The sequence below is a fragment of the Homo sapiens genome, chromosome 14, assembly GCF_000001405.40.
Source record: "Homo sapiens chromosome 14, GRCh38.p14 Primary Assembly".
Taxonomy (NCBI): Eukaryota; Metazoa; Chordata; class Mammalia; order Primates; family Hominidae; genus Homo; species Homo sapiens.
In genome coordinates, this window is record NC_000014.9 from 100,345,696 (window position 1) to 100,369,923 (window position 24,228).

Here is a 24,228-nt window from a genome sequence, read left to right on the forward strand (position 1 = left end):
TGATGAATGTATTTTGATATTTAAAAGTGTTTAGTGTTTTGGATGTTGTTGCTGTTATTACTGTCATTAGTATTTGCTTAGACCTGCAGAAGCAGAACTTTTGACCTCTCTATGGCCCGACAGGTGGTGCCACGCCAGCCCCCACCAAGTGGCGGTACCCAGACCCTTGGGTGAGCGCAGAGGTTTCCGGGCCCTGGGCACGCGGCTGGCCCAGCGTGACCCTGACGCTGTGGAGCACACGCCGCTGTGGCTCTGGCTCCAAGCAGGGTGAACGCTCCTCACGGAGAGCCCCGGCAGCGCATCCCAGGGAGCTGGCTCGGCTGGCAGCTGACTGAAGGCCTCAAGGGCCTGCTATGCCTGAAGCCACGCACCAAACATCAAGTAGAGGAGGGGATCAGAAGGCCCAGCCACAAGTCTCAAGGACCAAAAGTCTAAAAGTCTACGAAGCCAATGCATCTGAAAGACACATGGAAATTTATGGAGAGGGCCATGAAGGCATGCACGTGGGAGGCAAACCATTTGCACATCTGCTGGGGTGGAGCCATGGAAGGAGAGCAGGGCAGGGGTGGGAAGGCTCCAGAAGACCTCGTGTCAAGCCCCTCATCTTACATGTGGGGACACTGAGGCCCAGGGAGACAAAGACTCAAAGGCCCTCTCATGGGCAGCAGACCCAGCTGTCCTTCTTCATCACCCCTGGGTTCCATCCAAGGCCACCCTACACTGACTGGGGTCCCACCAGAGCTGTTGGAACTCCAAAGTCATCCTTAGATTTTTCTTTCTTCTAAACCTTAAGACGGGTGACAAGAGAGGGACAGACTCACATCCTGAAGTGCAGCTTCACCCAACCCAGAGAAGCTGCTCAATGCATTACACTAGCTAGTCAGATTCCAGGACAACGATGACCCACCCACGCCTGGGCATCCTACTTAAAGAGACAGTTGCAAACGCTAACATCTCAGAGATATTTAAACCAGGCATGTGTCTCCTCCAGAACTCTGCTCCTTTTTGAAGGGTGCAGGGAGTGGTCCACAGCAGCAGTGGGCCTCTTACCAATGCAGTCGCTGTCAGTGAAGCCGAAAATGCCTTTCACTTGGTTGAAGGTAACATGCTTTTGAATCTTCACCACATTTTTGTAGAAACCTGAGCTCATCCTGCAAAGACAACGAGAATGAAATCCCAAACGGAGGGCGGCCTTCACTGAAGGCAAAGTCACAGTTATTAAAATTGGATGCCAATGAGTAGTGGCATGGGCCAGACTCGGGGCCACATTGTGGTCAACACGTAAGCACTGGGAAGGTGCCAGGAAGTCATCTGTAGGCAAAGATACCTGCATCAGGCAAAGCAGACACACGTTTACCTGTGGAGTTGACTGGGAAAGGCAGAAACCAGTGTGAAACCGACGTGAAGCAGACATACAAACAAGGCAAGAACACAAGCAGATTCAGAGACTTGCAGCTAGCATGAAAAATTTAAATTCTGCCAGGGTCAGCAGTTCAGTGGGCTGTGGAGCTCAAGTCTGGGAGCCCCCAGGAGCTTCTTAGCTGAGACATACTGTGTTGTGGGAGACCATCTGCTTGTTGTCGGATGAGCGTATGGATAGAAACCCACGGCCCGAGAAGGAGGAAGGCCTGTTTCAGTGCAGCTGGTCCTCCTAGTCTCTGGCCACTGCTCCCCCCTGCTGTTTGGGCAGAACTAACCCTATCCACAGCAACAGGGCTAGGCCACAGTGGCTGATTCAAGCAACCCAACTCTCTCTTCTGGATGGTGAGGGGTGTGGGTACCAGGCCTGAATGTGTGGCATCCATTCCACTACCAGAAGGAACTAGGCTGAAGAAGAAGCAAACACAGTGGGGTGTAGGGGTTTGGCAGAACCCAGAGTGGCTTCTTTTTTTTTGTTTTGAGACAGAGTCTCACTCTGTAGCCCAGGCTGGAGTGCAGTGGCATGATCTTGGCTCACTGCAACCTCCATCTCTTGGGTTCAAGCAATTCTCCTGCCTCAGCCTCCTGAGTAGCTGGGATTACAGCTGCTCGCCACCATGCCTGGCTAATTTTTGTATTTTTAGTAGAGATGGGGTTTCACCATGTTGTCCAGGCTGGTCTCAAACTCCTGACCTCAGGTGATCCACCTGCCTTGGCCTCCCAAAGTGCTGGGATTACAGGTGTGAGCCACCGCGCCCAGCCAAGTGGCTTCTTATATTGCATCTTTGTATTACTATATTCAGTAGCTTTTTCTCTAGGCCCTACCATGTGTTAGACACTACGAGGGAAAAGGGGGAAGGCTGGTGTCTTTTAAGTGTTTGCACCATGTGGCAGGAGCTGTGCTAGATGCTGCGTATGTGTCAATACTCCTAAAATCCCCTTCAAAGTAGTAGCATTGCCTCCACCTTACAGTTAGACTAGGCTCAAAGAAGTTCAGGGTCATAGTCACAGGCCCAGTGAGTACAGGGGCTGGGATCCCAACACAGATTCACCTGGCCCCAAAGCCTATGCTTTTCTCACCACATCTTATCCTTTAGAAGAGTTTAGACTTTTGGGGCAGGGTGGAGAACTACTGAATGTCTTTGTGCAGGTGGGGTGGGGTGTCAGGAGTGCAGGAACACTGGCCGTTTGTGCTGGGCGAAGCACAATGCTGGGAGGCCTGTAACGGTCAAGGTCAGTGCCAAGGCCTGTCCAGGTTGAGCAGAGGCAGCACGTGAGGGATGGACTGTGTCTTTCGCCTAGCAGCCGGCTGAGTTTCAGGCCCTGGGGGGCACTGGAGAGGGCGGGCGCAGTACTGTGAAGGGGCATGCCAGGAGAACCCAGCATCTGTGTCACCCACTCAGCACAATGGAAACAACAGAGAGCAAGAGCACAGCCAACAGCAGCACTGCCTGGAAAGATGCGGCCTTTGTCCTCCTGCCAAGCAAGCCAAGAACACCGCAGGCAGGGAGGGTCCCTCCTGGGCACCGCAGCAGGACTCACAGCCAGTAAGGACAGCAGCTGTCTGTCACCTGGGGAGATGGGCTGCAGCAAAGACTCCATGCGCCCTTGGGATTGAGGCACCTGGGACACCCTAACCCCTACAAGGAGGGAAAGTCTCCAGTACCCCCAAACTGTGGCAGGACTGTAGCTTCACGGCGTCTGACTGGTATTTCTGAGTTAGAGCACGCTGCCCTTTCTTAGAAGACTGGTCATTACTTGCTGCAAGCTGCTGCCACTGTGCTGGCTGCAGGGTGAATGCAGGTGCTGCACCGTGAGCACGTGTGATCCTCCCCTCAAGGGACGGCTGTCCCCCTGCACAGCTGGGACGGACCCATCACGCAAAGCAGCCATGCCAGTGCCGGCACATGGAGGCTTCTCACTGGCTGCAGTGAACACACCTAACTGTATATCACATGTGGCTGAACCACCAGTTACCCCAGGGAGGGCACCTGCTTTTCACTCTCAGACAGGGTTTAAAGTGGGAAGAGATTTTAGATTACAACATTTACTGAGCACTCCCCAGGTGCCAGGCGTGGCTTGAAGCACTTTATATGCAGTGCAGGCACTATCATCTCCTGACCACAGTCTTCTCTACCCCTGCCCTTTGTCCCTATTATCACCATAGAACTTATTATCACCTGATTGATCACCTGTTAGCTGATTCTCCCCATTAGAAGAGAGGCTTTACACAGCTGCTGAGATAATGGTTTTGCTCCCTGCTGTACCCCCACCATGAGTCTGGCATATAGCAGATGTCCAATAAATATTTGTAGAACAAAGGAGCAGAGTGAAGAAAGCAGGCAGAGAGGAGCTCCTCCCATGCCCGGGCCACACAGTGGAAGGCTCCTCCCATGCCCAGGCCACACAGCGGACGGCCGTCAAGCAGAGCACTTGCAACCTCTGCTATGCTGCCCCCCACTAGCACCCAGCTCCCTTCCTCACAGGAACATGGAAGCTCAGAGATTTAAGGACTTGCCCAAGGGAACAAGACCAGGCAGGGGCAGAGCTGGGTCTGGAACACAAGTTTTCAGACTCCCAGCTCAGTGCCTTTGCATCCCTCAGGGCCCTGGGCAGGAAGGCCGTTCTGGGGCCATGTGCAATGTGCAGGGGGAACTGCACTGGCCTCCTCCCTCATGGAGGCCTCACCACCTCCCTCCCACTCAAAGAGGGCGATGGCTGGCTTTGTTGAATTTCCAGCTCCTAAACACCAGGAAGGAGCTTTATTAAGCCAAAGATATAGATTTTGAGTTAAATTCAAGAAAGAAAAGTAAAATGCTCAAATGTTTAGAAGAAACTCTTAAAGTAAAATGTTTGAATAGAGGATTTACCCTTTAAAATGTCTCTCCTCACTTTAGGTTCAATATAAAATGCCTTTCAAGAAAAGATATCATCGACCCTTTTGGTTGACATACTGTCTGGGTTTCATCTTTACCCCATGTTTGTAAGAAAAAAGGAAGTTCCCGACCAGGTGCAGTGGCTCACGCATCCCAGCACTTTGGGTGGTCGAGGCGGGTGGATCACTTGAGGTCGTTCGAGACCAGCCTGGCCAACATGGTGAAACTCCGTTTCTACTAAAAATACAAAAATTAGCTGGGTGTGGTGGCGGGCGCCTGTAATCCCAGCTACTCAGGAGGCTGAGGCATGAGAATTGCTTGAACCCAGGAGGCAGATATTGCAGTAAGCCGAGATCATGCCACTGCTCTCCAGTTTGGGCGACAGAGCAAGACTCCATCTCAAAAAAAGAAAAAAAAAAAAAAAAAGGAAGTTCTTATTTAGCGAAGGTGGAGGCTGGTCAGGAGCTGCAACCGCAGTTGCCAAAGAGACAGCACGAGGAATGGCGGCCTCACTCCACGTTCAGAGAGCGCTGAAAGTGGGGTTGCTCAGGTGGTGGTCTTTTCACATGGACTGTTCAAAAGTTCATCTACCCCATCGTGCATCTATTGGCTGAATCAGCTTCATGGACTATTATAGGCACTTGCTCTTGTCTCACCACCAGCATTTATATCCATCAACGAAGCGGCTCAGCTTTGCTTCTGCTGTGTCTGTGGGGCCCAGGAGGGGATGGGCCACAGAGAGCACAAATTCAGGAACTATGTGTCTTACTCAGCTAGTGGGGAGAGGGCCACACTGTACCAGATGTGGCAGAGGTAAGGCCCAGCCTGATGGAGGACCAGAGAGGGGCATCTAAATTTGGCTGTGGGGAGGGAAAGCTCCTAGGAAAAGGTGATGCTTGATCATGCCTTTGGAAGAAAGTGTAGGAATTAGCTAAGCTGGGGGTGGCAGGGTCAGGAGAGTGGGTGGGAATTCTGGGCAGCACAGAGCATGTACAAAGGAGAAGGATGTGGAACTGCAAGCTGTTCCACTGAGCTGGAGGTAGCAGTGACGCTGGAGAGGAACACAGGGCCAATCACGAAAGGGCTCGTGTGCCAAGTGAAAGGTGAGAATTCTCAATGTCATCTAAGGAGGAGAGCTGGGAAAGACCCGCAAGTGGAAGATGAGATTAGCTCTGAGTTTTAGGGAGATCACTGGCTGGTGGGGGCAGTGGTGGTGTGGGAAGAGGATAGCAGCTACTGGGCAATGCCAGCAGCACTGCCTGACTGGAAAAGGAGAAGCAGAACCCACAGTTGTCTCTGCAGAGGTTCAATCAGTTGAATCATTGTATGGAATGGGGTGAGAATAAGGAAATAAAGTGCCATGAAAATTATACTAACACGGCTGGGCATGGTGGCTCACACCTGTAATCGCAGCACTTTGGGAGGCTGAGGCGGGGAGGATCACTTGAGGTCAGGAGTTCAAGACCAGCCTGGCCAACATGGCAAAACCCATGAGTGAGACTCTGTCTCAAAAAAAAAAAAAAAAAAGAAAATTATGCTAATGATGACATCTATGTTCTTGTTTGATCCCATTTCATGGACACGGCTGCTATGACACACAGCCACTAAACCCAGGTGCCAGGATCTGGATCCCTGTCTATTTTCCTTCCTTCAAGGATGCCACAGGGCCTCCATGCTCACATGGCTGAACCAAGAGAAGTAATTTTAAAAGATCTAATAGGTGCTGGGCGTGGTGGCTCATGCCTGTAATCCCAGTGCTTTGGGAGGCCGAGGCAGGCAGATCATGAGGTCAGAAGATCGAGACCATCCTGGCTAACACAGTGAAACCCCGTCTCTACTAAAAATACAAAAAATTAGCCGGACATGGTGGCGGGCACCTGTAGTCCCAGCTACTTGGGAGGCTGAGGCAAGAGAATGGTGTGAACCTGAGAGGCGGAGCTTGCAGTGAGCCGAGATTGTGCCACTGCACTCCAGCCTGGGTGACAGAGCGAGACTCCGTCTCAAAAAAAAAAAGAAAAAGAAAAAGCTAACAGTTTTACTGGCTGATAGAAGGGCGAGATTTCCTATCAGGGTATACATTGCTCTCAATGGATATAAAACCACTACTCAGTTTCTTTCTTTTTTTTTTTTTTTTTTTTTGAGACAGAGTCTCACTCTGTTGCCCAGGCTGGAATGCAGTGGCATGATCTCGGCTCACTGCAACCTCCGCCTCCCAGGTTCAAGCGATTCTTCTGCCTCAGCCTCCCAAGTAGCTGCAACTACAGGAGCACGCCACCACACCCGGCTAATTTTTGTGTTTTTAGTAGAGATGGGGTTTCACCATATTGGCCAGGCTGGTCTCGAACTCCTGACCTCCTGACCTTGTGATCCACCCACCTCAGCCTCCCAAAGTGCTGGGATTACAGGCATGAGCCACCGCGCCTGGCTGCCACTACTCAGTTTTAAGGTCTTATAAGAGGGAACGTTCTGGGGATGCGGCTCTAAGCAAGTCCTCCTGTGCTCACTGCTCACCTGCCCCTTTAGTGTCCCTCTTATCCTGCCTCGGCATGGTCCCTGATGGTGAGCTAACATGGGAGGGCCTGCTCAGAGCCCAGCCTGGGCTGCAGGAGCATAGCAATGAACCCACTCCTCCTGGGGAATCACTTTAGGGGAGGAGTAACACGTCTTTGGGGAGTGGAGTAACATGCCTTAGGGGAGTACCATGCCTTAGGAGAGACCACGCCTTAGGGGAGTACTATGACTTAGAAGAGTATCTCACCTTAGGGGAGTACCACAACTCAGGTGCTCAAGAAATATTTGTTGAGCTAGATAGTATCCTTCTTGTGATGGTTGACCAAAGTCTTATTTTTCTAACACATTTCTTGGTAATCATTTGGGATGAAACTTGAAGGATTTTCAGAATGAAATATTTTGGTTTATTAAATGGCTGATTAAAAGAACTAGACTGAGGAAACTGTGTAACCACTGAGTCTTTTCTCTGTGAGGAAAAGGTGCGTTGAAAAGGAGGAAGACATAACTCTGGAAGACTGACTATCCTTGGCAAGAAACTGCAAGGCAGGACTTCCTGGCACAGCTGAGGATGAAGATCTGAGATGCCATCATGCTGTGGCTGAGCCCATATTTTAAATTTCTGTAAATGTAATTATGGAGACAATAATCGAGTCTTTAAGATACTGATATCACTTAATCCTTTCTATGTACATACACAGCTTTTCACTTTCAAAATTATTGGTAAATAAAACCAATAAACCAGCTCATAGCATTTTTTTTTCCTTTTTGAGATGGAGTCTCGCTCTGTTGCCCAGGCTGGAGTGCAATGGCGTGATCTCAACTCACTGTAACCTCCACCTCCCGGGTTCAAGCGATTCTCCTGCTTCAGCCACCTGAGTAGCTGGGCTTATAGGTGCGTGCCACCACACCCAACTAATTTTTGTATTTTCAATAGAGATGGGTTTCACCATGTTGGTCAGGCTGGTCTTGAACTCCTGACCTCGTGACCCGCCCACCTCGGCCTCCCAAAGTGCTGGGATTACAGGTGTGAGCCACCATGGCTGGCCACTCATAGCATTTAATAAAGGAAGAAGAACATTTACTAGGCCTTAAGACCATTTCAGTTGTTTCGAATTTAGCTGTGGTCATGACAACTTGACATCCTCCTCTACCTATTGAAAAGGCAGCCAGACGTTTTCTCCTTACCCCATGTAGTCCAGGTCAGAGAATATGAAAGTCTTGTTGATGTCAAAGCCACAGGCGATGATGTCCTTGGCATTCTCCACAGCATAGCTATAGGCCTGGTCCAGGGTCAGGTCCTTCCACAGATACTTCTCGTCATCCGTCATCTGGATGACCAAGGGCACGTTAAATACATCCTGGAGCCACCTAAAGAAACACAGGGGGAGAAAGCTGACGTCTCATCTCCCCTGTGGAGGAACGCCATCGTGCATCTGAAAACACAGCTCCTACTTACAACGTATGTTAAAACTTCCTTGCCTACAAAATCACAATTTGAATTGTGATATGAATTTGACTATGGATAATGATAAGGTCTACTACCATTTATCGACCAGGTGGCCCTGTGTGCTCTGTGTTAGCTGCTCTACACACTTTGTTTTGAAGCTTTACAGTAGTTCTATGAGGTAGGTATCTTCATTCTCATCTTGCAGATGTGGAAACTTAGGCTCAGAGAAGTAGCAGGCCCATGGCCATGCAGACAGGGAGCAGGATGAGAAGAGGAGCAGGCCTGGCTGACTCCAAAGCTGCGCTCTCCCCATCACTCCATGGTCCTCTAAAGTGAGCCCAGGAACAAAGTGAATGGAAGCCAAAAAAGTGCCAACTCTTGACATCTTGGTTGCTCAGCAAATGAACTAGCATGATCTTGTCAGTTCTAAACATGGTTTATAAGCAACATTCTCAATTCACTAAGAGAGTAAGAAAAGCCATAAGATCCAATACTTACTTTGTGAAAATAAATGGAATGAGGTGACCTACATGCATTGCTTCAGAAGAGGGGCCCCGGCCCGTGTACAGATAAAATGGCTTCTTATTTTCATAGGCATCAAGAACCTGATTCATATCTCTAAAGGAAAAAGGAGAAGAGGAAGAGTGTGATTTTCTGAGAAAAATATCAAGGCACTAATGCACTTTTGGAAATGGAAAATATAGACAGAGACGAAACAACATGGATAATAACTAGAATTTGTTACCTTTGGTGCTTATGATATAAATATAGACAGGAAACTTCTACTGAAATGGTTTCTCCTGTGAGTGTTTTAAAAGACAAGATGTGTAGGTTTGGAATAATGTGTTTAAAAGATGGATCCAGCTATGCAGTTACTGGGACTCCTGGAATCCCTCCAAACATCAGTGCCGACATACTGTGAGCTTGGTACACTTCCCTGGGGATACCAGGCCAACACCATATGATCCTTGCTCAGAATCACCCAGCCCCGAGGACTCTCAGACCAATACCAGGCAAACTGCATGGGACCAGACAGTCCTGGCTTAGCAGGGAAAGTAAGAATTGTCCTCTGGGAGTTCAGAGGTCAAGTGCCCAGTTGGAGATCTATCTGGGCCCCTCAGCCAGCTTGGGACTAGGTATCTTCATCTGCAAGTCACTCAAGAGTCATCCCCCTCCCTACCAGGCTGCTTCCAATCACAGCTGCCTGCGCCCCACCTCCAGAGACTGATTCAATGGATCTGAGGTGCTCTCTGGGAATGTGTTTGTTTGTTTGTTTATTTATTTATTTTTGAGACAGAGTCTCACTCTGTCACCCAGGCTGGAGTGCAGTGGTGTGATCTCTGCTCACTGCAACCTCTGCCTCCTGGGTTCAAGCGATTCTCCTGCCTCAGCCTCCCGAGTAGCTGGGCATAGTAGGCACCTGCCACTATGCCCAGCTAATTTTTTGTGTTTTTAATAGAGACGGGGTTTCACCATGTTGGCCAGGCTGGTCTCAAACTCCTGACCTCGTGATTTGCCTGCCTCGGCCTCCCAAAGTGCTGGGATTACAGGTGTGAGCCACTGCGCCTGGCCGGGAATTTGTATTTTTAAAAAGCTCCGTGAGGAGTTCCAATGTTCAGCAGGGTGGGAAACCAACGCTCGAGGATGAATGTCCTTTGTTTCTGGGTAAAGTGTCCCCAAATACAAGAGGAATAACTACCTTTTCCAGAGGTCTGGATAGGAGAATCTAGAGAACAGTATTCTGAAAGTGACTTCTCCTTATATTCCCCAAGCCAAGGGTCAACATTGCTTATCTCTGGACAGATACAATTGTGGGTGTTCTGGTTTTTGGGCTTAGTTTTCATTTTTTTTCCCCATGAAATGCTCACATACTGCTTTTGAAATAAGGAAAGAAAATAACCCATAATTTTGGAAGGAAAGAATCCTTCTTTGGTTCTCACAACTAACCATATGGGCTTACAGAAGAGAAAAAAATGTAACTGTGCCACGAGCTGCTTTTCTTGTGTTTATGTGGAGCATCTGAGAACTCACTGTGTGCTCGGTCCTGGGGTGAGGTGCTCCTGACAAGCGTGCAGAAATTTACTGGGTTCCAATTTTGAGATCATGTTTTATGAGGATGGATTCCAGCAGAGACTCATTCAGCTACTAAGGGAACCCAGTTACCTGCCCACCACTTGAAGCTTGACTGTGCATAGTAGATCTCATTTAATCCCCAATTTTACAGATGACAAAATTAGACAGAGGGGCAGTTTGAAATTTGAGAATGGGCAAATGACTCAGGTCCTATGCTTTCCTAAGCCAAGAGGCTACAGTATTACTATACTGCAGTTAATAAATAAGTCACAAAGGCAGTGAGAAGAACCATGCCATGCTAAGATAAAAAATGCTGACTACAAACCAACAAAATTAGTAAACTTTGAACCAAAGTGACTGGGTGTGTGTGTGTGTGTGGGGGGGGGTGTGGAATAAAAGAGAAGACTCAAACGGCCAAAATCAGGAATATAAGAAGGGGTATTACTACTGACCTTATAGGAATAAAAAGGATTACTACATAAGGGAATACTATGAATAACTGTATACCAATACATTAGATAACCTTGATGAAATAGACAAATTCCTAGAAACAAACTACTGAAACGAACCCAAGAAGAAATAGAAAATATACACAGATCTGGAACAAACAAAAAGACTGAATTAGTAATCAAAAAACTTCCTACAAAGAAAAGCCCAAAACCCCATTTTCACTGGTAAAGTCTATCAAATGTTCAAAAAAGAATTAATACCAATCCTTCCCAAGCTTTTCCAAAAAAAATTGAATAAGAAATACTTCCCAACTCATTCTATGAGGCCAGTATTACCCTGATACCAAACCAAAGACATTAAAAGAAAACTACAGACCAATATCCCTTATGAACACAGATGTAAAAATCCTCAGCAACTCACAAACCAAATCCAGCAACATATAAAAAAGATTATACACTATGATTGAAAATAAATTGATTTTCAACACCATGATTAAGTGGAATTTGTTCCAGGAACGCAAGGTTGATTAAACACGCAAAAACCTATCAGTGTGATACACCATACTAATAAAATAGAGGCCAAAACCCACATGATCATCTCAATAAACACAGAAAATGCATTTGATAAAATCTAACATCTTTTCATAATAAAAACACATGTTGAAGGGTATATAGAAAGCCCACAGCTAACATTATACTAAATGGTGTATATTCAGTCTTTACTGAAAGTTTTTCCCCTAAGATCAGGAATAAGACAAGGATGCTCACTTTCACCACTACTATTCAACATCCTATTGAAAGTTGAAGTCAGAGAAATTAGGAACGAAAAAAAAATCCAAATTGGAAAGGAGGAAGTAAAACTGTCTCTAATCATAGGAGATACAATCCTATATGTAGGAAATCCTATCGAATCTGCAAAAAGAAAAAAAGCATTAGCGCTAATAAACTCAGCAAAATTTCAGGATATAAGATTAATACACAAACATCAATTGTATTTTTTTTTTTTTTGAGAGGGAGTTTTGCTCTTTTTGCCCGGGCTGGAGTGCAATGGCACGATCTCGGGTCACTGCCACCTCTGCCTCCTGGGTTCAAGTGATTCTCCTGCCTTAGCCTCTTGGGTAGCTGGGATTACAGGCGCCCACCACCATGCCTGCCCAATTTTGTATTTTTAGTAGAGATGTGGTTTCACCATGTTGGTCAGGCTGGTCTCGAACTCCTGACCTCAAGTGATCCACCCGCCTCGGCCTCCCAAAGTGTTGGGATTACAGGTGTAAGCCACCGTGCCCGGCCATCAGTTGTATTTCTATATAGTAGCAATGAACAATCAAAATGAGATTAAGAAAATGCCATTTAGAATAGCATTAAAAAGATAAAATTCTAATGAATAAATCTAAGCAAAGAAGTGCAAAACCTATACACTGAAAATTACAAAACATCAATGAAAGAAATCAAAGAAGTGAAAAGACATCCCATGTTCATGGATTAGATGAATTAATATTTTAAGATGGCAATACTCCACAAATGAATCTACAGATTCAGTGCAATCCCTATCAAAATCCTAGCTGCTGCTTTTGCAGAAATGGAAAAGCTGAAATTCATATGGAAATGCAAGGGGCCCAGAATACCTAAACAATCTTGAAAAAGAACCATGTTTGAGTACTCACATTTTCTTATTTTTTTTTGAGACGGAGTCTCACTGCCACCCAGGCTGGAGTGCAGTGGCGCGATCTCGGCTCACTGCAAGCTCCGCCTCCCGGGTTCATGCCATTCTCCTGCCTCAGCCTCCCGAGTAGCTGGGACTACAGGCGCCCATCACCACACCTGGCTAATTTTTTGTATTTTTAGTAGAGATGGGGTTTCACCGTGTTAGCCAGGATGGTCTCAATCTCCTGACCTCGTGATCCGCCTGCCTTGGCCTCCCAAAGTGCTGGGATTACAGACATGAGCCACTGCGCCCAGCCAAGAATAGTCTTTTCAAAAAACAGTGCTGGGACAATTGGATACCCACAAGCAAAAGAATGAAGTTGGAGCTGTACCTCACAAATATACAAAAATTAACTCAAAAAGGATCAGAAACTGAAATGTAAGAGCTAAAACCACAAAACTCTGAGAAGAAACCATAGGTGTAAATCTTCACAACCTTCGATTAGTCAGTGGTTTCTCAGATATGACACCAAAAACACAATCAATCAAAGATAAAATAAACTGGACTTCATCAAAATTAAAAACTTTCATACTTCAAAGGACTATCAGTAGAGTGAAGAGACAACCTATATAATGGGAGCAAATATTTGCAAGTAATATTTGAATAAGAAACTAGTATCCAGAATATAGAAAGAACTATTATAACTAACAATAAAAAGACAACCCAATTAAAAAGTAGGCAAAGGATCTGAATAGACATTTCTCTAAAGATATAAAAATTGTTAATAAGCACATGAAAAGATTCTCAACATCCTTGTCATTAGGGAAATACAATCAAAACCACAATGAAATACTACTTCACACCTATTAGGATGGCTATAAAACACAACAACATGGAAAATAACAAGAGTGGGTGAAGATGTGGAGAAATGGGAAGCTTCCTATGTTGCTGGTGGGAAAGTAAAATGATACAGTTGCTGTAGAAAAGTCTGTCAGTTCCTCAAAGAGTTAAACATGGAATTACTATATAAGCCATTAATTCTATTTCGAGGTATATGCCCAAGAGAATTGAAAACATATATCCACCCAAAAACTTGTATACAAATGGTCAGAGCAGCATTGTTGATAACCAAAAAGTGAAAATAACTCAAACGTCCATCAACTAATGAATGAATAAACAAAATGTGAGGTATATCCATTCAATGGAATATTATTTGGCAATAAAAAGGAATCCAGTATGGATACATGCTACAACATGGAGGAACCTTGAAAATGTTATGCCAAGTAAAAGAAGCCAGACACAAAAGGCCACATGTTACATGATCCCATTTATATAAAATGCCTAAATCTAGATATAGAGAAAGCAGACTAATGGTTGCCAGTGGGGAGGGAGAAATGGGGGATGACTGTTAACCCATTTATGCCTACCTACTGTTCCAAAATTGGAATGCTAAACTTGTGGGAGTTATTGATATCTTACTGCTCAAGGTGATTGCCAAGGTCTGATTTTTCACAAAAAATTTTTACAACTTCTGGCATAAATGGGTTAATGGGTAGAAGTTTCCTTTTGGGGTGATGAAATGTTTTGGAATTAGATAGTCTTGATGGTCTCACAACCTTGTGAATATACTAAAACCCACTTAACTGTACATTTAAAAAAATAAGTTTTATAGTATGTGAATTAAGGAAAATTTTTTATTATATTCCACCCAGAAAGTGGGTTGAGCAAGGCCTGGAGTTCTTTGCAGGTAGAATTTGAAGTGTTTGGGCAGACTGCTGGGCTCTGTCCTGGGGTTGTTCTCCTGTAAGCGTGAAGTGCCAGTAGAACAGAACAACCCTACATCAGATCATAAATTCCATGGACACAGCTTCAAAAAGGGGGCTGCCTCAGCCCAGATAACTGTAGGTTGGGAGAGGCAGAAACTCTTTTGGAACCTGCCCATATCTTGACGTTATCTGCGTGGAATTTACGGCCTAAGGTACAGATAATCTGTTCCATGCATTCTCTGTTGGTTTGTCTGTTGGTATTGTTTATGAGCAAGTCAATACAATAGGAGGAAGAGGGTTTGGAATTTCAGGAAGCCTACTGTTTGTCATGTGGGAAATGCTGATCTTGGACATATTATTCTCTTTTGTTTTCATGACATTTTATAATTTCTTTACAGCCTGTAATCTGGGAAGAATCTCACCTGCTATTAATATGATTCCCACCTTGTGAGGTGGGCAGTCTACAAATGAAAAAACTAAGAGCCTGAGGGTGATGGACAAGCATGATCCCACAGTGGGTTACTGACAGGACAGAGGATGGATCTCAGTCTTACCACAGCTGGCCATCACTTTTCCCACAGTACCAGGTGGCTTATGAAGAGAGTGTCTTACGATTTTTTTGAACTAAAAGAAGAGGACAGGTGAGAAGGCCTGTGGTGAAGAGCCCCTGACCTGTGTGAGAAGAAGATGCCTCTGCGCAGGAAGTGGTGTGGTCTTTGGCCGGTGGCTCTCTCTATTCGGTTTATTAGCTCTTTGTCAATTTTACTACTTCCAAACCGAACTGGAAAAAAAGAAAAGATGACTTTCTTAGGTGGCAGGAGGTTTAGTGATCAGATATTACTGAAATGAAGATGAAAAGTGAGTGATCCATGCACAATCTTAATGAACACAAACCTCTTTAGGCCTTCTGCTAAAGGTCCTTACCCCCAACATGAAGTAAAAGGTCTTTGGATTAAAACAACAGCTGAGATCAACACAACCAACAAAACAGGAAATAAATTACAACACAAAATGCTGTTTTGCCTGAGACTGGGTTCTGATGGGAAACATATTCAGAATGCAGTCCAGCTAGCAACTTTTGACAACAAAATATAAACATATACATATATAAATAGGTATATATATATATATTTGTTTATTAAGGTAAAATTTATATTCATTGACAACCATGATTTCTCACATTCTTTATTTGTTGAACTGAATTAATGTCGGTCTTCAAGTGAATTTTCCCTCATTGATAGTCTATACTGAAATCATGGAAAATGGCTTTGACTTAGATGAAAACATTTCAGTTCTGTTTCTTCTCTGATAATTAGCAATGATCTCAGAGTAAAGACTTCAATGGAATGGCAACAGTCTTTCCTGAGCAGGAAGGCCCTCAAGGAAGGGCATGACAGTAAGAACTTGCCCGATGTGAGAAGTCACTGCTCTTAAGCTGACTTCCAGCCTTCTAGGTCCATAGTCAGTATCACTGGAGGTGAAACCTAAGTAATCTATGATTGACTTGTAGCCACTAAATGTTATAAATGGCCATTTCAATAGACCTTTCCCAAGTTCTGAAGTGCTCAAAAAAAGGGAAAACCTTCTATTAAGCTGTCTACTATAGATCATTATTTTGAAATATATTTTATATTGTTATTTTATTTTAAAATAATCCTTTGGGAATATAATGCACAACCAAAAGATTTTAGTATCCATTTTTTCTTGGCATTGAAGCTTCACTGAATTTATGATTAATTCAAAATTTAAAAACATCAATGGAATCAACTCAATGGGACCACTTCTAAAAGTTGCAGCTTTTTCTGGGAAGAAAGCAGAGGACGTACCAATGAGCTTATCGTAGTCTATGCCTTTTGCACTGCTTGTCTGTACTGTCCATGGGTCCACAAAATCCTCTTCAGCTTCTGTGGCATCTGGGCCATGATTACTGGTAGGTGCTGGGTTCCCTGGAGGACAGTCAGCCTTGTAATCCTCCCCCGCGGCAGCTTTGTAGCTCATTTTTAATGACACCAACATCTTTACTGCAGAATCAATTTCATCCTGAGAGAGGAAATAAAAGGGATGGCTAAAAGTATTACTAATAGCTGATATGTGCTGAATGCCTATTCTGTGGCAGGCACTGTGTTAAATGCTTTTACACGTGTTACCTTAGTTAGTGTCACAACCCTACAAGGCAGGTATTGTTGTCACTGTCCTTTTCCAGCTCAAGAATCTGAGACTCAGAGAGGTAGAGGAGCTTACCCATAGAATCACAGCAAGTCATTGGCTCGAAAACACTTCATTTTTATCTGTTATTCTAGTGCTACCATGAACACTTTGGGACAGTAGCAGTGACACAATATACACTGTCATTTATGACAAAGTTCATATGCTAAAGATTTCTCAAACACCACTGATGCCAGAGAACGTGTGTGACAAGCTCCTTTAATTGAGATTCCTGGAGTTCTGCATTGGAACTAGTTTTTACATACCACACAGGTTGAGATGAATATTTACGTTAACTTAACCAATGATGCCACTAAGGATAGTAAGAGCAACTAAAACAGATAAAAGCAAGGACAAAAAATGTAGGCTCTCAGGTTATAAATTAAGGAGGGATTCACTGGGAAATAGTTACATCATCACATTTTGGAGTCTTATCAAACTATCTTGAAAAAAAAAAAACAAAGGTAAAATGTACCCTTGGGTAGTCTGGAAATGTATTAAAGACTCTTTTGCAGGAGTCCATAGTGGCCACCCCTGGAAGCCTGGTGTTTAGAAAAGCAGGCCTAATTAAGCTGATTAGTCATGCTATGCCCTAAAGCTCTATTCTGGTAATTGGCCTTGCTGGATTAGATCACAAACAAAGAATATACACAGCCCAATTTGCTTACCAAGGGAAATACAAACATTTCCACTTACAGTTTATACAGAACATTCTTTCTTTTAAATCTCCTTAAATTCCTTTTACCATATACAGAATGTTCTATAAACACCAACCTCCATTCAGAGATAACTATTCCATCAGATATAGCACTTGGGCCATAAAGGACTGTGATTCTGGAGTAATCTGTGTTTCAAACTACAAAATTATCTGAGACTCATCATTAAAATGAGCCAGATTTGTGGAATCAGTAACCCAATGGATACGATTCATAGATGAGATGTTTGCCCAGGTTAGATAGTTAAGTATGTTCCACCCATCTCATTTCTGTAGTACCTAGGCTCAGTACTTGCAAAAAATAACAGTTTAGTACGTATAATCTATCCAATTATCTATGGGAAGGCTTACCTTGCTTTGAAGTACACTGCAGTCAATATCACTTAATAACTAGCTTTGTTGACATTTCATACTCTATCTGGTCTAATTCTGCTTGTAACTAGGAGGCTCTGCGAAAGTCAAACATTTAACCAATGTCCCTGCTCAAGGACCATCTGCATTTTGGAATAGCACCAAAATAAGACAAGCAGGCTTACCTTGTCTATTTTCTTATAATCAGTCTTAATCAGTGTCTGAACCAGGACACTGAAACAGGATTCAAAAGCTGATGTTAGCTGGGTGCAGTGGCTCACACCTGTAATCCCAGCACTTTGGGAGGCCAAGGCGGGCGGATCGCCTGAGCTCATAAGTTCGAGACCACCCTAGGCAACATGGCAAAACCCTGTCTCTACCAAAAATAGAAAAAATTAGCCAGGTGTGGTGGCACACACCTGTGTTCCTAGCTCATCGGGAGGCTGAAGTCAGAGGATTGCTTGAGCCAGGGAGGCAGAGGTTGCAGTGAGCCGAGATTGCACCACTGCACTCCAACCTGGGTGATGAAGTGAGATCCCCACCCCACAAAAAACCCAGAACATCAGTTTTTTTTAGACAGGGTCTCACTTCAGTCTCCTGAGTAGCTGGGACTGCAGGTGTGTGCCACCATGTCTGGCTAATTTTTAAATTTTTTGTAGAGACAGGGTCTCACTATATTATCCAGGCTGGTCCCAAACTCTTGGCCTGAAGCGATCCTCCTGCCTTGGCCTCCTAAGTGCTGGGATTATAGGCATGAGCCACGGAGCCTCGCCAAAAGCTGATGTTCAGAAAAAAAAGCCAGACACAAGACTGTATTACATACAGTTCAAACCCAGGTAGAGCTACCCCTGGTGGGAGGAGTCATGGCAGAGGCTGAGGCGCGTGAGGGTGGCTTCTAGGTGCTCTCTGCTTGCTGTTGATTTGGGTGCTGGTTACACAGGTGTGGTCATTTTGTGAAAATTCAGTGAGGTGCCTGCTTGTGCTTATGATCAGCATGTTTTTCTATATGAATGGTATATTTTGATTTTAGAAGTTACTTAAACAAAAAGGAGAAGAAGAAAAAGGCTCTGCTCTCTTTCTTAATACCTAAGACCTAGCATTGCTTCTTTAGTCCTGCTCAAACTATTTCCCCTCACAGCCCTCAGATGCTGACTTATTTCCCCCTAGGAAACTTGCCGCTTTAATGAGCTGCTGCTACTGAAGGATGTGGATCTTATTCTTTAGATACACTGGAGCAGAAAAGACCTTCAAGGTCCATGGCCTAGATAAATGGCAGGAGAAGAAAGAGCTCAAGGTGCCCTCTCTTAGAACTGGCACTCCCAATGTGGCTCACACTATTTTGCTAAAAGTTAATTTTTAAAATTTCCAAAACATCAAGTGCTTCTACTACCAAGACATTTCAGGGTCAGATACAAATGTACTTCTGAATTTTTCACCACTTAACTCTGGTCTCATTGTGCAACCTCTGATGTCTTCAACGTGTGCCAGCCAATTGCATTAGTCAAATAATACACTTGGAAGAGTTATTATAAAATGTATTAAGTTGACTAAAATAATGAACATAACTGCAGTCACTAAGAATTACTAACTAAAAACATTTACTAAATGTTATTCAAATTTAATATTAAATGGACAAAAATACCACTGTCAACTTCCCAAAATGATGGGCTTACATAACCCCACTGGGTCTTTTATTTATTTTATAATTTTGTTTTAAAACAACTTGGTTTAATCGTTTGAGGCCTACCTGGTGAGTAAATCTCTTTCTGTAAAAAAGTAACTTTTTTTTGACATTACTTTCTTTCAGTACTATTTATTTCATTTAAAATATGAGCTGGGTGCAGTGGCTTGCATCTATAATTCCAGCAACTTGGCAGGCTAAGGTGGGAGCCCAGGAGTTTGAGGGTGCACTGAGCTAGGATTGCACCACTGCACTCCAACGTGGAAAGAGCGAGACCCTGTCTCAAAAAATACACACACACACACACACACACACACACACACACACACAAATAATGATTTAAATCAGGGTCCCAAATAGTCAAAGTAAACTACTGGGGAATGTGAGATGGTTGACACAATCTGGTGACAAGCAAGGTGTTTGAAAAGATAACAGATAACAGGAGTTAAAAGTGTCGGAAGTCGGGCCGGGCGTGGTGGCTCACACCTGTCATCCCAGTACTTTGGGAGGCTGAGGCGGGCGGATCACCTGAGATCAGGAGTTCAAGATTAGCCTGGCCAACATGGCAAGACCCCCTCTCTACTAAAAATACAAAAATTAGCCGGGTGTGGTGGCGGGCGCCTGCAGTCCCAGCTACTTACGAGGCCAGGGCAGGAGAATCGCTCGAACTCAGGAGGCAGAGGTTGTAGTGAGCCAAGACTGTGCCAGTGCACTCCAGCCTGGGCGACAGAGTGAGACTCAGCCTCAAAAAAAAAAAAAAAAAAAAAGTGATGGAAGTCATGGAGAAGCCGGAGTGGAGTCACCCCAGAAGGAAATGAAATGCTTATGTTCTAGTTAAAGATGCGTATTGATGATGATATTTCTGAAATCTACTACAACAAAAGCAGAGATCTTCTTTTTTTTTTTTTTTTTTAAAGCATAATCCCACAAGGACAAAGGAAACAAGAAGAGGATGACAGCAACAAGGTTTCAGAAGCCAGAAAGCTGATGAATGATCAGTGCCTAACAGCATGAGAGAAAAACAAATGCTAAGACATCATGGAAATACTGGAAGGTGACCGAGTGTACACTGTTACGGAATCACCCAAAGGTTCGGGCCTTAGTGACCTTGCGCACTTACAGGAGTGGGGGCAGGAAAGCGGGTTATGAAAACAGGAGCGCTGGTTGAAGTCTCTTCAAGAAGCAGTTATTGAGAATCCCTCTCCCCTCGGCCAAGGGAGTGTCACAGTTTCCCCTCCATTCCAAGGTTTCATGTCAAGAGAGGACAGAGTTACAGGTGCCTAGACTGGGGGCAGTCTGCACAGTTGGGGCACTGGCAGCACACAGAGAATAGGGAGCTTCGGGGAAGGATCCCACAGCCCAGCCCTTCTCTCCCACTCAGCCGTAGAACTCTGGCAGCGGGACTCACCCCCTCTGAACAGTGGACTGGGGGAGCTTTCTCTGGGGAATCTCACTTAACTTTAAAGAAAAGATCTAAAGACCTTGACACGAAAGATTCCCCAACAAAAGGGGAGCAGCCTGGTCACTCTCCAGGAAGTGGAACCTATGTTGATAAGCTCTTCCCCAATGAAGAGTGCATCCAGCAGCTTTCAGTGCACCCCCCAAAACACCAGCAAATAGCCAAGAAACACCAAACAGTTGAGAATTGCCTCTAATATGAAAGGCAGGTAGAAAACAAATTAAGATGGAAGAAACTGAGGTTATAAAGGATGTAGAGGACATATGGAAAACTACCATTAAGATCTCAGAGAGAGAGAGTTGAGTGTCCTGAGAGGTCAGATTGCTGTCAGACATGGCCCATGGACATGGACATGAGCATGGACATCGTAAAATGGAACTTCTAGATTACAGACAACGGAAGACAGAAGGGACACCATTAGAAACTATCCAGAAGAAGCTGGCTGAAAAAGGGCTAAGGGATCCGTGGGGCCACAATGAAGCTTGAAGATACATGGGTGGCTTTGCAAAGAGTGTTTCCTTTTTTGATGTATTGTTTAAAGGATTCAAATGGGGATTTGCTGCATTTGTGGTAGCTGTAGGAGCTGAATATTACCTGGAGTCCCTGAATAAAGATAAGAAGCATCACTGAAGATAATACCTGGAAGTATCATAGTGGTTTCTTAACTCTCCAAAATAAGATTTCTTCACTGTAGCCTACTCGTCTGGTTTGTCCCTTACAGAATATTAGTAAGATTTAATACAGTAAAATAAGATTAAAAAAAAAAATCTCAGAGAGAAAAGGGTGGTACTGTACCTATGAGTCAGGGCAGAGTGCTGTGAGGAAACTTCAGGGAGCATACATGCTCCTGGAAGTTAAAAATGATAGCAGAAATGGAAAACAATAGGAGGGTTAGAAAATCAGAGAAACAGTCTCTGAATTAAAAAAAAAAGTCTGTGAAGAGAGAAAACAGAAGAGATCAAAGAAATCATGATTTCTGAGAATTAACGGCCATGAGTTTCTAGTCTAAAAGGCAGGCTGAGTGTGGTGGCTCACGCCTGTAATCCCAGCACTTTCGGAGGCCGAGGTGGGCAGATCATGAGGTCAGGAGTTTGAGATCAGCCTGGCTAATATAGTGAAACCCCGTCTCTACTAAAAATACAAAAATTAGCCTGGTATGGTGGCGGATGCCTGTAATCCCAGCTACTTGGGAGGCTAAGACAGGAGAACTGCTTGAACCCAGGAGGCGGAGGTTGCGGTGAGTCGAGATTGTGCCACCACACTCCAGCCTGGGTGAAAGAGTGAGATTCCATCTCGGGGGGCGGGGGTGGGGTGGCAAAAAAAAAAAAAAAAAAAAAAAGAAAGGCATACTGAACCTGCATCCCATGAAATTTCAGAACACGGGAACAAAGAAGATCCTGCTAACTTCCAAAAAGAAAAAACAAAGGAATGGCAACTGACTTCTCTGCAGCAAGCCCAGAAGCTAGGTGCCAATAGAGCAGTGGCTTCAGCATTTCCAGGGGAAATCACTTCCATGCTAGAACCCTACACCCAGCCTGGCTATCAATCATGTTTTAGGTAAAATAAATACGCTTTCAGATGGGCAAGATCCCCCTAGAAATATTTCCTTTGCAATATTTTTTTCAGAAACAATTGGAAGATTTGCTCTGCCCAAAGAGTAAAGCAAAGAGGAATAAAGATGCAGGAGCAGGAAACGGGGCACCCAATCGACAGGGGTGAAAGAACCCCTTGGGTCGACAGTGAAGAAAGACGCCAAGATGGGCAGTGTAGGAAGCAAGAGCCCCCACTTCAGAGGGAAGCAGGCAGAAGGTTTTGGGAGAGATCGCCTCAAGAAGATGAACTTGATAGACTAGTTGATGTGTGTTGAAAGGAGATTCACTGGACAGGGAAAGGGCTTGGAGATACATTATCATTAGTATCATTGACATAAAAAAGTCAAGCAAACAGATATTAAGACAAATATTAACTCCAGAGAAAACAAAAGCTGGGCGAGAAAGTTAGAGTACTCATTCTATCCGTGATGGTTCAGCTGTCCACGTCTATTTCCATGGTCATAATAATGTCAGTGTACAGATACTGACCTAACTACAACTGCAATACAGATGGGGAGACTGCCTGGACGGGAAGTGGTTGTGAAGGTACGAATGCTTCATTTCCACCTGAAAGACCCCAACTTGAAAATCAACAAGGAACAATATGATAAGCAGAATATTTACAGATATGGGGAGTACATAACCAAAAGATCGGCTAAAAGAATTGAGCAGGAAATAGGGAGAGGTGGGCTGGAGGGCCACTGTATTTCACAAAGGCTTTGAGAACCCCTGACTCTTTAGACCACAGGCATCCCAATGTTGATAAAGGAAAAATACATTTAAAACTATAACCAAGGCTGGCGTGGTGGCTCATGCTGGTAATCCCAGCACTTTGGGAGGCCAAGGTGGACAGATCACCTGAGGTCAGGGGTTTGAGACCAGCCTGACCAACGTGGTGAAACCCCCATCTCTACTAAAAATACAAAATTAGCTGGGTGTGGTGGTGCATGCCTGTAATCCCAGCTACTTGGGAGGCTGAGGCAGGAGAGTCACTTGAACCCGGGAGGCAGAGGTTGCAGCAAGCTTAGATTGCACCATTGCACTCCAGCCTGGGAAACAAGAGTGAAATTCCCTCTCAAAAAATAAAAAATTATAACCAAAACACCTCAGTCATTGAGGAAACCATCTATTCTAGAGGAACACAACCCTACAGACTTGGGAGGCTCAGCTGCCTTCGTGGAGAACCCAGCAAAATCATGTACCTTTGACGCATTTCCCGCTTTGAGGGACCTTACGAGCTCCCCTTGTGTGGCGATGCTGTTGAACAGCTCCAGCAGAGATGCGGGCTCACTGTTGGGCATGTTTGCTATCTCTCAGGAACTACGTTCACAGCCGGCCTGAGGTCAGAGGATTTGTTCAGCAGACGAGTCAAGACTGGGGTGGGGGCGGGGAAGGAGAGAGAGGAAAAACCAGAGGTTAACACAACATCGCGGCTGTTTTTCCTTTCCTGTATTGAGTCCTTTTTTCCGAAAAGGTTGTGAGGTGAGTTACAGTAAAGGACATAGATAATATAATAAAAAGAGAACCAGAAATTTGGGGCCATGAAGAAGAGGAAAACCATCAAATGCCAGTGATGAAGACTAAAGGAGTGGCTAGGATTTACTGACTTAAGGTGTGAATCTACTTGACTAGGAGGGGCCCTCCTAGTCAAGATCAAGTTTGCATCTGGTGATGCCCCTGTGCCCCCACCCAGTGCCCAGAACACAGGAGGACTCCTGTTTGCTCAGGGTATAAATACCAATGTGTTTTAATGAACTTAAGTTCATTGCTAAAAACTTTTGGCAAATTACTATTTGATTTTTTTTTTTTTTGAGATGGAGTCTCGCTCTGCCACCCAGGCTGGAGTGCAATGGTGTGATCTTGGCTCACTGCAACCTCCACCTCTGGGGTTCAAGCGATTCTTCTGTCTCAGCCTCCTGAGGCTGCCTGCCACCATGCCCAGCGAATTTTTGTATTTTTAGTAGAGGGAGGGTTTCACCATGTTGGCCAGGCTGGTCTTGAACTTCTGACCTCAGGTGATCCTCTCACTTCAGCCTCCC

At 44.8% G+C, this 24,228-nt stretch overlaps 1 protein-coding gene and 1 pseudogene across 16 annotated transcripts in view; one reads left to right on the forward strand and one right to left on the reverse strand.

The window, feature by feature from the left end:
* Nucleotides 1-24,228, reverse strand: part of WARS1 (tryptophanyl-tRNA synthetase 1) — a 42,538-nt gene that overhangs the window by 11,906 nt on the left and 6,404 nt on the right. For 12 of the 16 annotated variants that reach the window (NM_173701.2, XM_024449707.2, XM_047431762.1 and 9 more), the window contains 6 exons: nucleotides 23,392-23,563; nucleotides 16,013-16,226; nucleotides 14,859-14,967; nucleotides 8,752-8,871; nucleotides 7,992-8,174; nucleotides 1,051-1,151 (listed from right to left, as the gene is read on the reverse strand). In NM_173701.2, coding sequence (NP_776049.1) covers nucleotides 1,051-1,151; nucleotides 7,992-8,174; nucleotides 8,752-8,871; nucleotides 14,859-14,967; nucleotides 16,013-16,226; nucleotides 23,392-23,490 — 826 coding nt within the window. In that variant the 5' untranslated portion in view covers nucleotides 23,491-23,563. The remainder of the gene's footprint in view (nucleotides 1-1,050; nucleotides 1,152-7,991; nucleotides 8,175-8,751; nucleotides 8,872-14,858; nucleotides 14,968-16,012; nucleotides 16,227-23,391; nucleotides 23,564-24,228) is intronic. The other 4 variants (NM_213645.2, XM_047431765.1, NM_213646.2 and 1 more) reach the window with 1 other exon arrangement.
* Nucleotides 20,893-21,348, forward strand: NDUFB3P4 (NADH:ubiquinone oxidoreductase subunit B3 pseudogene 4; annotated as a pseudogene).